Source organism: Homo sapiens, chromosome 9 (genome assembly GCF_000001405.40).
Source record: "Homo sapiens chromosome 9, GRCh38.p14 Primary Assembly".
Lineage (NCBI taxonomy): Eukaryota > Metazoa > Chordata > Mammalia > Primates > Hominidae > Homo > Homo sapiens.
The window spans coordinates 91232970-91248281 of record NC_000009.12 but is presented as its reverse complement, the minus strand read 5'-3'; the positions used below and the strand labels follow the sequence as shown (position 1 = coordinate 91248281).

The following is a 15312-nucleotide window of genomic DNA, read 5'->3' as shown; positions in this document are numbered from 1 at the left end:
AGGCAGTTAATCAAGGAAAGAACAGGCTTTTCAACTATTGGTTGTCCGTATGCAAAAGAATGAACTTCAATCCATAGTTCTCACAATATGTAAAAATTGATAAAAATGGATCACAGACTTAAAATGTAAAACCTAAAAACAGAAGTGCTTAGAACAAAGTTCAGGGAAAAATATCTTTCTCATTTTGGGTTAGAAATCTAAGGTTTCTTAGATGAGACACCAAGAACATGATCCACATGAGAAAAAAATAGAAATACTGGACTTACTGAAGTTAAGAATGTCTTTTGTCAGGACACTGTTAAGAGAATGGAAGTACGAGCTCCAGAATAGAAGAAGATATGTGTAAATCATATTTTTGATAAAGGACTTGTATCCAAAATTTGTAGAGAATTCTCTAAACTCAATAGTAAGAAAACAAAGCAACTTAGTTAAAACATGGTCAAGATATTTAAGCAGACACTTCACTAAAGAAAATGTAAGTATGGCAAATATGCACATAAAAAGATGCTCTACATCAGTAGTCTTTAGGGAAATACAAATTAAAACCACGATGAGACAATACTGAACACCTATAGAATGACTAAAATTAAAGACTAGTAAATGTTGGCAAGGATGTAGAACACTGGGAACTTTCACCAATGCTAGCATTATTGGTCACTAATTCAGAGAGAATACTAACAGTTTGGTGGCTGAAGGATTTTGGCCCTGGAGGACACAATGGGATTTGTTTTAAATTGGAGAATAGATTCCTTGTGCCAGAGCCCCATGTGTCAGGGAGGAGGGAGGGGGCAGGACAAGATGTGATCCAAGGAGATGGAGAGGCTGGGAATTGAGGTACTGTAGGCGTGCAGCTGTGAGAGTGAGAAAAATGGACCAGTGGGAGTGGGAGAGACAGGAGAGATGATCTGCATAAGAGTGTGACTGACTGAGGGGCGAGGCAGGGAAGGGGAATGGTGCTGTGGCAACCACCTTTATGGGGAGTGAGAGTTAGCTGCCCCCCTTACCCTCTTGCAGAGTAGCACTATCGGTTGAAGTTGATGGGTCTCTGCAGCAGTGTTTCTCTGTCCGGATGTAGACTCAGAAAAGGTTAAAAGGGTGATGCAGTGTACGGAGGAGAGTTTGCCAGCCATGTGCAGTGAGAGAGGAAAGAAGGCTTCACTGCAAAGAATGTGGCTGAGCTGTTGCAGCAGTGGGAGGAGGCTGTATGGAAGGGAATTGAGTGTGAGTAGGCTGAAGGATTGTCGGGGAAAGGAGGCAGGTAACAGAAGACTCAGCTGACTGTGGCTTAACAAGGCCTTGGGTATCTTTTTATAAGAAGTCTGGGAAGGCATTGCTGGCATGGCTCCGCTGCTGGCATGGCTCCGCTGCTTAGGCATGATGGGGACTACCAGACTTTCCAGCCTGCTGTTTTGCCATCCTCATCATGTGGCTTTTCAGCCATAGACTTGTCTTCTATTCCTAACTCTTGGATTTTGTGCTTTAGAAACAGCAGTTTTCCTTGTTAAATAGTCATTTATCCTTTATGCCTATTCTCTTAACGTTTATTTGCTTAGCTTCTAACTTCATTGTGTGCATATACCACCTTTAAACAAGTGTTTTGCCTTTGGCGTGATTTCTGACTTTAGCCTTATTCCTTCTAGCATGCTATTTCTAATTCATTTATTAGTTCTGTATTTATGTTATTTTGGTCCTCAGTGTTTCAGTTGCTCTGCAATCTTGTTTTTCATTTCAGCGTGTTCATTTGCCATCGCCTCTTTGAGTCTCATATATTGATTTTATGTCATCTCTAAATTATTTCATAGTAAGCACTTCTGGGAACTTTTCTTCAGTTATTAGTTAGGCTTTCTTAAATAAAAGACGGTGTCTTTAGGATGCCATGTGTGTGCCTTTGCTGTCCTCAGTAGGGGGCTTGTTTGGTTTGGTTTGCTTTGAGGAGTGGGGAGGCTGGCCTGTCTTGTCCAGTAACTATGCCATGTCTTTTGTTAATCTTCCACGTGGTTTTTTGTTTGTTTGTTTTTTTAGCATGAACCTCTGTCAGTATTCTTCTTCTTTTACACAGCGAGTGAGCTTTGGGTTGATTCTGGTTGAGGGCTCAGAATTGTTGTGGTGTTTCTTTTGCTTTTCCTCTTTGTCTGAGAGAATGGGAGGAGAGGAGGCAGGAATCACCCAGCAGGGCGGGAGGCCATGATTCAGCTTTGTAAATATCTTTTCCCAGGCTGCCTCCACCGAATCTGCTCATATCTGTTTCCTGTGAGACACACCCTTTGCTTAATATGGTTTCCCAGCTCAGGACAGGGGTCTGGCATTTTAGGACAGTAGGTCTCTGGTGTTTATGGGCCCTGCTCCTGTCCCCATCCCCGTCACATCTTGCCAGCTTTAGACAAGAAGGATGGGCACAGTCCATGAGTGTTTTTAGGGACAGCGCAGGGGTCAAAGGTGCACTCCCTCTAGAACACAGGGGAGGAGAGGGCCAGAGCAGGCTCCCCAGGCTTGCATCCTGGCTCCAGGCCCTACCTTAGGCCTCCGTTTTCTCATCTGTGTGGAGGAAGATGATAGTCCCTACATCCTGGGGTAGGTGGAAGGATTGAATGAGATAATGCCCATAAGTCACTTGGCACCCGTTTGCTTCTATCAGCAGATGTCAGCTCCAGTCATTGATGCTTCATAGACTTCTCACTCAGGCACTTCCTACTCAGTCATCTTGGTCCCACTGATCTTGTTTCATTTATTTTCACTTTTGCTTTACTTTTTACTCAACCCTTGCTTAATTGTTGGGGGTGATTAGTGATTAGGTGATTTTGATATTTTTCTTCTTTCTCCAGCTTTCCTCTTATCAGATAAAAACCAAAATGGCTGTCTTCTGTGGGACTCCCTGCTGAGAAGTGGGGCCTTGTTTCTCAAAAAGCGTTCTGATTTTAAAACTTTTCATTGGCTGCCATTGCACCCCTTTGTCTTCTCATGGGAAGAGGGTGTAATAGTCTCATACTTTTCACAGTTCTGCCCATTTGCCAACTCTGTGCCTGGGGTAGGCCATGCTTCCCCACGGGGCTCCTGGGGTGGGCCGTGGTTCCAGTTCCCACCTGCTGGGCCCACACTTGAAATCTCTTGTGTGTGCTCCCAGCCCTGCTCTTCATGCTTGTGCCATGCAACTGTGTCACTTCCTCTCTCGTTGCTTTTTTCCTCCCCACCTCTCATCCCTTCCCTCTCTGGTTATTCAACTAATTGTTGTTGCTCTGATTGAGTTCAAAGAGGGTGTCTAGGAATTAGTTGTGAGCTAGCTAAATAGAGAAATCTGCAATATACATTTTAAATTTGTAATCAATGCATATTTTGTTTTCAGTGTTTAAAGAATTTTTCATTTAAAATACTGACAGTATGGCTTACTTTTAACCTTTAACCTCTGCATCTCAAATAATTTTTCAGAGGTGCACCTTGGTAAATCCATTGTTGCCATAAACCATATTTTGTACAGTGACAATACTTTGATGGTTCTTGCTAGGAGAGCAGTAATTAATACTCGTCATGTCTAGAACTTCCCTTCACACATTCTCCTGGAACAGGATACAGGACAGGGATTGCCCCCTCTGGAACCTGCCATTGTGGGTTTAGAACCCTCAGGACACTGGTAAGCGGAGTGAAAGGAAGTCACTGACCTTCCTTACCAACATACTTAACAGTGCCTGTAGGAAGCTAGTTGGGAGATGTGGATGGGAAGGAAAAAGTGTCAACATTTATATGAATTTCAAATGTATCTTACCTCTAGCTGTGCCTTAAAATGTTTTGAAATATGAAAACTAAAAAATTTGTTAAAACATGTTTATTAAACTTGCAGCTTAAGTTTATATTCAGTTTAATATAACTGACTACATTAAGTTTATGTGCAAATTCAGTAACTAGGAAGTCTACAGGTGGCCAATTTTGTGAAGTTATCCCCCAACATTTTATTATGACAGCTTTGGCCAATGTTATTTTAACTGATATTCTATTAATACTATACAGTGAACCTTTTACAAATATTGGATGATTTTTATAAATTACCCAACTGAACCTAAAGAAGCAATAGTTGTTGGTGAATACATTCATTTTATATGTTGTGGGTAGTTTTTCTTGCTGGTTTAGATAGAGATTTTAGTTGTTTTATGGTATGCCTTGATTTTACTTTTGTTTGGGATGGGAGGGAAAGATCGTTTGGTTTTGTTTTGTTTTTCTTGAGATATGTCTTAGAGTTTTGAAAAACTGACTGGATGTTGGATATGTTTTATAATATAATTTGTTTCCAGTAAGTTAGAGTTTCTTTGCTATGCTAAGAAGAATGGCTCATTCCACTTTCTTAATATGAAACAGTTGTTGACTAGTTCGTTAAATAACAAAATCTTCTAATGCTGTCCTTTTACAGAGTGTTTGATGATTTTCCCGATGAAGAGTAAAGCTATCTAGTTCACCTTTATAGCTTTAGTTATAGTCAAATATCCTGCTTGTTTTAATTTGCTCATTTTGCTGCTCGTTTTCTGTTAAAGGTTACAAAGAAAAAAAAAAGTGGGCTGCTCCACCCGGGCTGATCTCCAGCAGGAGACCCCAGAAGGTGCAGGGTGGGACACATGACACATCGGCTCAGGCCCCTCTGCACAGGTTCTGTGCTTTGTGGTCAGTTCCACATCTTTCACGTCTCAGGCCTTTTCTTGTAGCACTAGCCCTAAAAACTGCAAGATAAGATTGAGGTGGGCCAGCACAGAGAATAGAAAGCGAGGAGGAAGATCTGCAGCGAAGTGAGGAGGCAGAGTGTTGTGCACCCTTCCATCACACGGGCCTTGCCGTGTAATTCATTTCTCTCCAGCAACACCTGCCCAACCGGAGCTGACTGCTGTGTGATTTTGTTTTGAAGCTTTCTGCCATTGTCACTGCCTCTGATAACAGATGAGATAGGTAATAATTCATTTTTCCTTTTGTTCTGATTACCCAGTTATATTCGTATGCTTATTAAGTCTCGCTGAGGCTTAGCCCTGGCAAAGATAGCTAAGGAGCTATGGGTCTCAGGTTTCTGGTCTCTGTTAGTGGTAGGTAGCTGACTGTTAGGAAAAGCAGGTGACTTGCAGAATGAGACATAGCTAATCCACCACTGATTTACTAGTGCATATGGATCTGGTGGCCACCTTACTGCTCTGAGCCTTCAGTTTTCAGATTTGTCAAATGAAGATAATTATGATAGTGACCTCATAGGATTCTTTGAAACATTATAAGAGTAATGTATTCCATTACATAGTACCTAGTAAGTTCTCAATACGTGGTAGTTATTTACCTGTTAATAATGGTGTTGCTATGCCCAGAATCTTTAAATTTTCATCATGTGCCCTACTTTTGATAAAGAATATCAGAAACATTCTTGTCTTCATGTCCACTCCATTCTTTGGTCATTTCTAGGTAACATGAAATATTTTCACATATTATTTCTTTTATTCCTGATATTTTACTATCTGATAACACCTGGTAAACTTAGCCAGATGTTTTGTGTTTCTAACATGCAGTTAGTAAGGATTTCTCACTTACATCTTAAGTCTTTTATTAGAACCCTCATTTAATGAAAACATGAAAGTTCAGTTTTTATGAAATGGAGTGTTCACTCTTTATTGTTACAGTTATTACAGTTAATTCAGAAACACAAGAAAAACGGTTGATGTGAGGGTGTCACTTCCTTCACTTCTGACTGTGGTTGGCAAGTACGGTGTGTTTTTCATGTGTTGAGCTTTCCAAAAGGATTGTTTTCCATAGTATTCTCTCCACACTTTTCCTCCTCTATTATTTTTTCAAGATAAGTGGTTCACATATTCTTTTTTACTTCCTCCTTGATTTGGAAAGAATGAGGGATGATTTTGAACTTTGGGAAATACTCTCTGAATGTTGTCTTGAAAAATACTGGGGTTTTTTGGTAAAAGAAAGATGAGTGGAAGAAAAGATGCTCCTTACAGTGTGTGCTGCTTGATCAATCTTTGTCCTCATGGTAGGCAGCCTCTAACCTGACTGCCTGGTGTTCACACAGTGTAATGCTGCCTGTGGAGTGAGGCTGGCCATGTTGACTTAGAAGCAATGGGACGTCACCTCTCAGATAGGTTGTAAAAAGACTATGGCTTCCTTGACTCACTCGCCCTGGCAATGCCTTGTCAAGAGGCAGCCCTGCAATGTAGCTTATGTGTGCAGGACCGAGAAGGCCTGCCAGCCGTGGGGAAGGGAGCCTGGAAGCAGGAGAGCCAGCCAAGCTCTTCCTGGATTCCTGACCCCTTAGAATCTATCAAAGAGTAAGTGTTTGTTTTAAACCACTGAGTTTTAGAGTAACTTGTAGTGCACAATAAATAACTATTATTTAAATCATTAGACATGATGACATAGTTTCTTTCTTAAACAGACTACATGGTTTATGCTTTACCATATTCAGTGTCCAGTTGGGCTAGGAAATATTACATAGTTGATTTGTTTTCACCATTTAAGAGAGTTTGATTTTTTTTTAAAGTATAAAATGTTAAATACAACTCTTAAGGGGTGGAATCTGTAGATATCAAGGTATTAAGTTTGACATTTTGCTTTAGTAGTTACATGATTTGTCTAGTAAGGTAAACATGAAACATTATATCTCTGGCAAATGTTACTGCATTAAAATAATGTAATCAAGACTTTTCTTTAGGGCTGGCTTATGTATTCATGTTCATTTGACACAAGTATATATGTATTACACATACATAATACATATTATGTACTTACCACAAAACCTAATAAAGGAAAACCTAACACAAAATCTCAAAAAGGAAAAAATATCCAGCCTAGCCATAATCCTTATAATACATTTGTAGATACTAATATGACTTTAAATCAATCACATATACTTATATATAATATATAACATATTGTCTATATAAATAACTAGGGATTAGAATGAAAAAGTGCAACACATGTAAGACATAGTTGGTTAGGCATGTTATGGCATGATATTTTTACTGTAGGTAGGTAGATGTCTTACTGCAGCCCTAGTAATTGATCTGATACATGTATGCTGCTACAGAAGAGTCCATTGGATCCCCTCTTTCTATTAGTTTTGTTTCTCTGGACAGTTTCCATGTACCTGGGATAGGTGTTATGTTCAGAAGTCTGTTGGGAAGATCTCAGTTTAGATCAGGCTGGCCGATACCACTTCTCTTGTGTATGTTGAGCAACTGTATTGTAAGATTATCATTTAGATTCTGAATGTCTTCCTTCTTAGGTCACTTTTGTGTGACCCAGGTTGTCTAGACCACAGAACGCACTTATCGCTAGGCATCAGCTGGCTGTTTTCCCACTTTGTGCTGTGCAGCATCCTCCTACCCTGGCCATGAACTGTAGAGATGTTGTGTAGACCTTCTCCCTCAGCTGCATCATTGACTAAGACATTGGGCATGTTGAAATGAACTGTAGGTCATGTCAAGTTTCTTTGGTTTTGAACAGAAACCAGTGTTACCACCAAAAGGGAGCTCATGGGAGGCTAAAGGGCCCCCAGAGACTCTCTCAGTGGCAGGAGACTCTAGACCTGTGCCATCTAGTATTGTAGCCACTAACCACATGCAATGATTTAAATTTAAATTGATCAGAATGAACTAAAAATTAAAACTTGAGCCATACTAGTCACATTTCAAGTGTTCAGTAGCCACATGTGGCTAGTGACTTCTGTATTACATAGTGCAAACACAAACCCTTTCCACCATCACAGAAACTTCTCCCTGGAAGTACAGCTCCAGATAGCCTTACCTGGAGGCCTTCACTCCAATTTACTAGCCCAGCCATTCCTTCCATTGCTCTGTTCAAGATCCACGCTGAAGGAGAGAGAGTTGATTGGTCTGACTTGAGTCATGTGCTCACGTCTTGGTCATATGGGTGTGAGTGAGGGTTGGGCAGGAGAAGCCTCCAGAGACCTCTCAGAGCCACCAGGGCAAGCATCTGAGTTCACAGCCTCAAGACAGCACTCAAAGGCGGAGGGGTGCACAGTGCTATTGGTGGGAGCTGGCCAAGAATGGACAGATGCACACCATGGCAGTCTTTAAATAAAAGATTTTGAAAGGAAGATTTTGTGTTCCTCTGGTAGGTAACAATACATCTTCAAAATTTTTTTTAAAAAGATATCACAATGTATCAGCAAATATTTGTTTTTAAAGGTGCATGTAAACATTGAAAAATAAGCGTAATTTTGTTTTTAATGATTAAGACTTGGGTGTGTATGTTTCTCTAACAGTGTGTGGCATAATAGTTGAAAAAGCTTTCTATAATAAATATTAATGAAAGCTGTATCACAAAAGTGTTTAATTGTGGCCAGTTTGCTTAATTTGCTCTGGAAAAACGTTTTTGCTGTCCAGCCTTCCTTCCCCATTCCAGTCCTGATTGCTAAAGGCTTCTCTACCATAATCCACAAAGAGCTCAAACTAATATGCTTCAGGCAGGTTCTGCTGGGGTTGAGCCAGTTAGGTTTTTCTCCTTACATAGCCCTCTGTCTTGTGCGTGCGTGTGTGCATGTGTGTGTGTGCGTGTGTGTTTTCATTGCTTTACAACAGGCCTCAGTGAATAGGAAGCATTACAACACTTTAAACATTGGTCACAAATGGAAGGATAAATATTTTTATGGTTTTTGTATGATTGTGACACAATTTAAGACTAGTAAACATGCCATGTTTGTTCACATAGCTCACTCCTCTTTAACCCTGATGCTTTCATTGTAAAGTGAGAGGAAGTTAGTTTTGTAAGCATCAAGCCCTGATGCATGAAGAAAGCTCTTGCCTAGGCCATCTGACACAGAGTCCCACAGGAATCAGCTTGCAGTGGGCTTTATAATCCAAAGTTAGCATTATACTGCAGTGTTTCCTCCCATGGTTCAAGGAAAAAACAACCTGAAGTGGGGCTTTTCTATTTATGAGAGAAGATTTATAAGTAATTCAAAAGTGGTATTTACTATCAGAAGTCAGAGATCACTTCTAAGCATATCAGTAAATGCCCTCAATTTGGTATCCACATACTTTTAACTTGGAAGATTTGTTATGAGCATCCCCCTTTATCAGTATGACTTCTTTCTTTGTGCTCTCTTGAGAAGGGAAAAGATGAAGGATAAAAAAAAAAAACAGAACAAAAAGCTTGGGTTTTCCACCGTTAAATGTTACTAAAACATACTTTATAATCCAAAGTCATAAGGTATGGTCAGTTCTTTACACATTACATTGTAATTGAATGTGAAATGTCAAAGCTTGCTTTAGATTATTTTAATACATGTAAATATAAAAAGGGGGAAGTAACATCTATATTTCACATTATTCTGTACTTTGAATTTAGGTCTTTTGGTCTTGGAGGAAAGGGGAGAGTAGTCTCAGATTGCTGCCAACATCTCCCCATGGCATTGAAGGTTCTCATGGCTCCCAAGAGGCAGCAGGGAATACAGGAGATAACCAGATATTTTAAACATTTTACTTCTTGCCTTCTCTGGCAAAAGCTTGCTGTGCTTTAAGCCTCTGCTAAGACAGGTTGCTACCTCAAAGTAAGTTGTGTTTTAAGTAGTATAATCGCAGGAGATTATTACCTAGGGAGAAAAATTCTTGATGTCTTCTCAAAAAGATTAAATGAAGGAAAAATAATAAACAGTAATATTACATTTCAAGTATATCTTTATTCTATCCAAGTGATACATGAACATGAAGACATTTTGTTGCATGATGAAAACAGTTTTGCCACTTGTGGTAGTGTCTGCTAATTGCCTACCCATTTTCATTTTCCCTTAGTGAGAGAGTCCCAGTTTTATTCTCTATGCTATGGCAAAACACTCAGCAAGGAAACTACATTTCCCAGCCTCCTCCAGCTACACATGGCCAAGTTCTAGGCAGTGAGATGCAAACAGATACTGTTGTCCAGTACTTAGTCAGTGGCTTTGAAAATGGAGCACTCCCTTCCCATTCCCCCTTTTCCCTTCCTGCTATTTGGTTTGCAGACCTGATTGCAAGGCTTCAGCAGCCTTTTTGGACCATGAGATAATCTGAAAGGACAGAAGATGCAGCCTGAGAATGACAAATGAGAAACATTGAGGGAACCTGGTTTCTAACAGTGGTCATTTGTGATATTTATGCAACCCTGAAAAAACTGGTCCCAAAATTTTGTTTCTGACTTTTAAGCTTTCAAGAAAGTGGTTAAATCAAAGCAATAAAATTAGTATAAAACGGACACTGAAAATGTTGGCAATCCAGTAGCCCATGTAGTGAAGTACTGACTAGCAAAAAACTCATTCCCCATACTCCCTTGGTAATGCTCATCCTCAGTGCTCGTCATTTGTTAGAAAAGAGAAGCTTTGAATCTCAATGCAAAATCTTTAAAAGAATTCAGAACATACCATATGAAATCATTGCTATTGTAAATAAACTTGATCATGATGTGAGCAAAAGCGTTACATTTAAAAATGTAGCTCCACTAAAAGGAATCAAGGTCTGAGGAGGAAAGGTACAAGATGAGCTTGGAACATTTTGTGATACCAGGTAACAGGAAGTTATTGATGACTATTTTGGTCATGTCAAAAGGACTTCACAGCCAATCTAACTAAGTCCTCACTGGTCAAAGATGGGGTAGTTTGAGCATCAATAAAGATTTTAACTGCAGTGGGTTGTCATACATCAAATAGGCTAAAATCTATAAGTTAATTATGATTTCCAAAGATTAAAAACTTAACTGTTCAGCGTTAGAGGATACTAGGGAACCACCTTGTAATTTTGAAAACTAGTGAATAAATGAAAAGAGTCAACCGCTTATAAACTAGAAACTCATTTTAATATTATTTACAGATCACAAGCAAAAGAAACAAAGATATCCATTTTGAGTGTTTTTATCCTCTTACTTTGTCTGTGGCTTCAGACAGTGAGTCAAAGCCATTCACTCCCAGGATCTTGAGTACCAACGAAAGAAATTCATTTGAGTGTGAACAGTTCTCACTCCTGCCCCGGCACACAGCTTTACCGCATCACCAGGGAGCAGCAGTGACTCTTGCCTCTCTCTCTCCCTCCTGTACCACCAGACTTTTCATTTGATAAGTAAACAGTTTTGAAATTCTTTGTTAATTTTGCTAAGCATTATTGGCATTCATCTTTTACCTATAACATAGCTTATTGTTTATTTTCATCACATTATCTGTTTAATGCCACATAGGAGGAAACATAATCTGTAGCTGATAGATTCATTTTCTGCACATACACGTATCCCCTAAATAATTCATTAAGAATTCAATAAGTAGGTAATTGGTGTTTAAAATGCTAAATATTATGTAGAAATTGTGGTAGACTGTTACATAGCAGTTTATGGGGTTTTTTTTCCTGCCATTTTATCGATTTGTGGGGAAATTGATTGGAGCTTTTGGGTGGGCTAAGAATAAATTACTATTTTTCCTATTTAAAAATGATGGGTTCTCAGTATTCAAATATTTGCTTTTCAGTGGCTTTTAAAACACAGAAAATTTATTCCAGAAACCATGATGAGCATTATCTATACATTGTCTCATACTGTCCATGAGCTGAATTTTAGCAGTCTGTGACTGCACCTGCAGGGATCTCTTCCTCCTTCCCATTCAGCCCAGTCACCCCACAACCTCCAGTTATGCACACCTGCTCTGTTCTGAATCTCGATTTCCTGCCTCTCACTCTGCAGCATCCTAACCTTCCAGTTCTGTTCAGACCTCACTAAGTCCTCAGGTCTGGGGCCACTCACTCTCAATCATTTCCCTCTTTTCCTCTCTTCTCTCCTCACACAGCCTAGATTTCATGGTTCTTTGTGATAATCACTTTCTTACAAATGACCTTAGCTACCTTCCCACTAACCTCATAGGGGAATTGTAAGGATTAAATGAGTGAATACTCTTGGAGTACTTGGGAGGATTTACGTAGTGTTATGTAGTATCTGCTCAGTAATGTCAACGGTTGGTATTACTGAGCTCTCTCCTCTCTTCTTGTACTTGTCTGGCAAAGTTCCAGACCCCCACCCCGATCCCCCCAACCCCTGCCACCAGTTAGCTAGAAATTGCTAGGGATGGAAAAAATAATCATGCTAACTCATCTCCTGATCACACATCTCAAGTGTGTAGTTAATTTTGCCCAGCAACACTGCCATACTTCCCTAGTATGTTTGCTTTTCCACTTTCTGAAATGCATGTTCAAATCTCTTTCCTCCATCCATCTGTACTTCCTGATGTTCTTGGTACAAATTACAGGAAACCCTATTTCAGCTGGCTTAAACAATAAGAAAATACTCTGTAGCATCACAAGCAGTCACAGAGTAAGGCGTCTTCAGGATTGATAAGGTCAGCAGCCTAGTGCTGTCTTTCTGCTGTGCCATCTTCAGTTTGGAGACTTTGCCCTTGCCACCTTCCATCATGGTCACAAGGTGGCTGCCATAGCTCTAAGTATCACATTTAGAGGTGACAGCATCCTGGAAGAAGACCTGTGTATTCCTGAATGTCTTTATTTCAGTGAAGAATATCTTTCCTAGAAGACCCCTGCAGACATAGCTTTATTGAAGGAAGGGTAGGGTGAATAGTGGTAGAACAGGAACAGGTGACTTATAAAATGTGGTTGGCTGCACCTGAGCAGCTGAACAGCCTCAGTGAGCACCTGTCCAGGTCTTGCTGACATTTGTCTAAACAGTCTCCCTAAGTGATCTTATTCAGGACCTTGGTTTTGAATGCTACCTGTATGATACTAATCATTGGTAAACCTTATTCTCTGTGTCCAGTCTCACACATGACTGCTCCACTCTTATGTGTAAAAGATACATTATACTTACCTTGGCCAGAGCACAGCTTCCCCCTCCTCCATTCTTGTCAGTGTTCATAATATCGGACACTCACACACTCAGGCTAAAAATCTAGCCATTAGATTGATTTTCCTTTCTCCCAGCATCCATTTAACTAGCATTTCAGACAACACTTATTCCAAGTCCTCCACATCTCTCTCCCTACCTTGCGCTGTCTCGGTCCAAGCTGCCATCCTGTTGTACTTGGGTGACAGCAGTAGCTGCCTACTGGGCACCCTGTTCTGATTTTGCCCCTATCATCTCTTCTCCCCCAATCTTACAAATGATCTTTTTAAAGTGCAGATCAAATTATGTCACTTGCTGCTCAAAATCCTCCAGTGCCTTTGTGTCACTTTGCCTAGGGTAAAATGTAAACTTCTACTCCGCTTACCCAAGCTCCTGTCCTGCTCCTCCTCACATCCTTTCCTATGAGCCACAGTGGTCTCCTTCAATGGGCCATACTCTGCCTCATCTTTACATCTTTGTACCAGCTGAGCTCATCACTGGGTGTTCTTCCTGATCTTCATTTGGATGTCTGGTTATATTTCAGACATTGGCCTCACCTTTATCAAGCAGGCCTTCTCCAACCACCCAATCTAAATTAGTCATCTAGTGTGCTGTCTCAGAACTCTCTTCCCTGCCTGAAATTCTCTGTGTAACACTCCTCACAGTCTCTTCTCTCTGGCCCATTGCTTCTTGCCATTTGTCTTTGCTCTCCTTCTGCAGAATGGTAAGGAATGGTCTATCTTACTCAGCACTGTGGGTTCAGCACCTAGGACAGTGCCTGGCACTTGTTAGGTTAATCAATAAATTATTTATTGAACTTAAATAAGCTTTATTTGGAAAAAGTAAAACGGATAAACTCCCATTCAGTTTCATCTGACTTTTTTAAAGAGAAAGAAAACTAATAGCTCTATTATTGTATGATTCGTCTTTTTGGAGAGTAAGCAATAGAAATTGACTCTGGCTACCCTAAATGAAAAGGAAATTTATTGTAAGTCTCCTGAAATCAATAGATGGATAGAGATTGAAGCTTAGAGCACAAACTGGAACCCAGGAGCCCCAGAACTAGACAGTCTATACCATGGCAGGTCTGCACGTCACTGCCCTGTGCTCTTTGTGAGCTTGGCAAATCTCCATGCCATGAGGTTGCCCATTCAGACTGTCAGTCCTGGAAGCAGCATCCAGCAGGCCAGACCTGATGTAGACGCCTGTCCAGCTGTGTCAGGGCAGAGGAGGCAGCTCTGGCTCTTGGGCTTCAGTTGCAGGGATCCTCTACTGTCCAAGGCTGATACAGTGGAGAGAGGGGTGGCCAAAGGGGTCTCCAAAAGCAAGACCGGGATTTTAATGGGGGCAGTGGATGTTGAGCAGCCAAAACATGGCCAACATTCAAATCATTTGGGGAACTTGTTTAGAAGTCTCTCTCTGAGCTTGTTGGAGCTCCACCACAAATAGTACAAACATCTGCCTACCCCCGTCTTCTTAGTTCATGACCATAATTCTCCCTCAAATCTCTGAGGAATCAAAATGGAATCACTGGTGTTAAAAATAACCCTGACAAATAGAATTGAGAAGCCCATGAAAAGAGGGTTCTTATGCTTGTATGCCTGATAACTAAAACCATCACAAAACACTCTGCAAAAACCACAACCTTACATGAAGGCCATTGTAACCTTATACAGAAGACACTTCTGCAAGGATGTCTGTTCAACTGCCTGTCCAGCCTCAGGCTGGCGTTACTTGTTATTGATCTTTGTAGCCAAGGATAATTATTTTGAAACAGTTACGTAATCTTCATTTTTTCCTCTAAAAACCTTTGTCTTCCTTTATCTCCCTGAATATACACATTGTTTATGGCATACGCATTCCTGTTGCAATGCTTTATTCCCAGATTCCTTTTAGAGGCCCTCTCCCTGTTTTTTATTTAGGTTGACAAGCTCAAATCTTCATTAGAGAATGACAGTCCCATACCACTGTTTCTCAGAAGATGCTCTCAGATGTTCAGTGGCTTCTTGTCCCCCTCAGAGTAAACCCCAGGTCCTTTTGGGCCCATGGGACCCACAGGATCTGCCCCTGCTGTGCACTTCAGCCACACTGGACCTCCTTGTGCTCCACAAGTGAATCAGTTGCAATTCCCACAAAACCTGTGCCCTTCGTGTTCCTCCTGGAGATGCATTCCCCAGACCTGTGTGGGAATCCTTGCTACCTCCTGCCTCAGCTCCAGTGTCACCTGCTCAGAGCCCTTCCCTGGCCATCCTGTCTTAACTGTGCCCATCCCCACTCCATCTCCCCCCGCTTTCTTACTCTCTGTGTGTATTTCTTTCTTTATTGCGAGGCTTCCCATGACAGTGTTGAACGCCAGGGGCCAGGGGCTTTGTTTTGTTCATGGATGTATCCATGTACCAAAACAGGGTCCCTCCATAGTGATGCTTCAATGAGTGAAAAAATGGGTTGTCATCTGTGAAATTAGTTTTAAAGGAGGAATTCCAAAAT

The 15312-nt window shown here is 40.8% G+C and overlaps 1 protein-coding gene across 17 annotated transcripts in view, besides 1 other annotated feature; it reads left to right on the top strand.

The window, feature by feature from the left end:
* The window catches only part of AUH (AU RNA binding methylglutaconyl-CoA hydratase), a 148096-nt gene that overhangs the window by 113637 nt on the left and 19147 nt on the right, over nucleotides 1-15312 (top strand). The window lies entirely within an intron of this gene.
* Nucleotides 12001-12295: a silencer, noted in NCBI's record as "tiled region #15085; HepG2 Repressive non-DNase unmatched - State 16:ElonW, and K562 Repressive non-DNase unmatched - State 24:Quies". NCBI's record gives its function as "represses a minimal TATA promoter and a strong SV40 promoter by Sharpr-MPRA in HepG2 and K562 cells {active_cell/tissue: HepG2 | K562}" and the evidence as "EXISTENCE:reporter gene assay evidence [ECO:0000049][PMID:27701403]".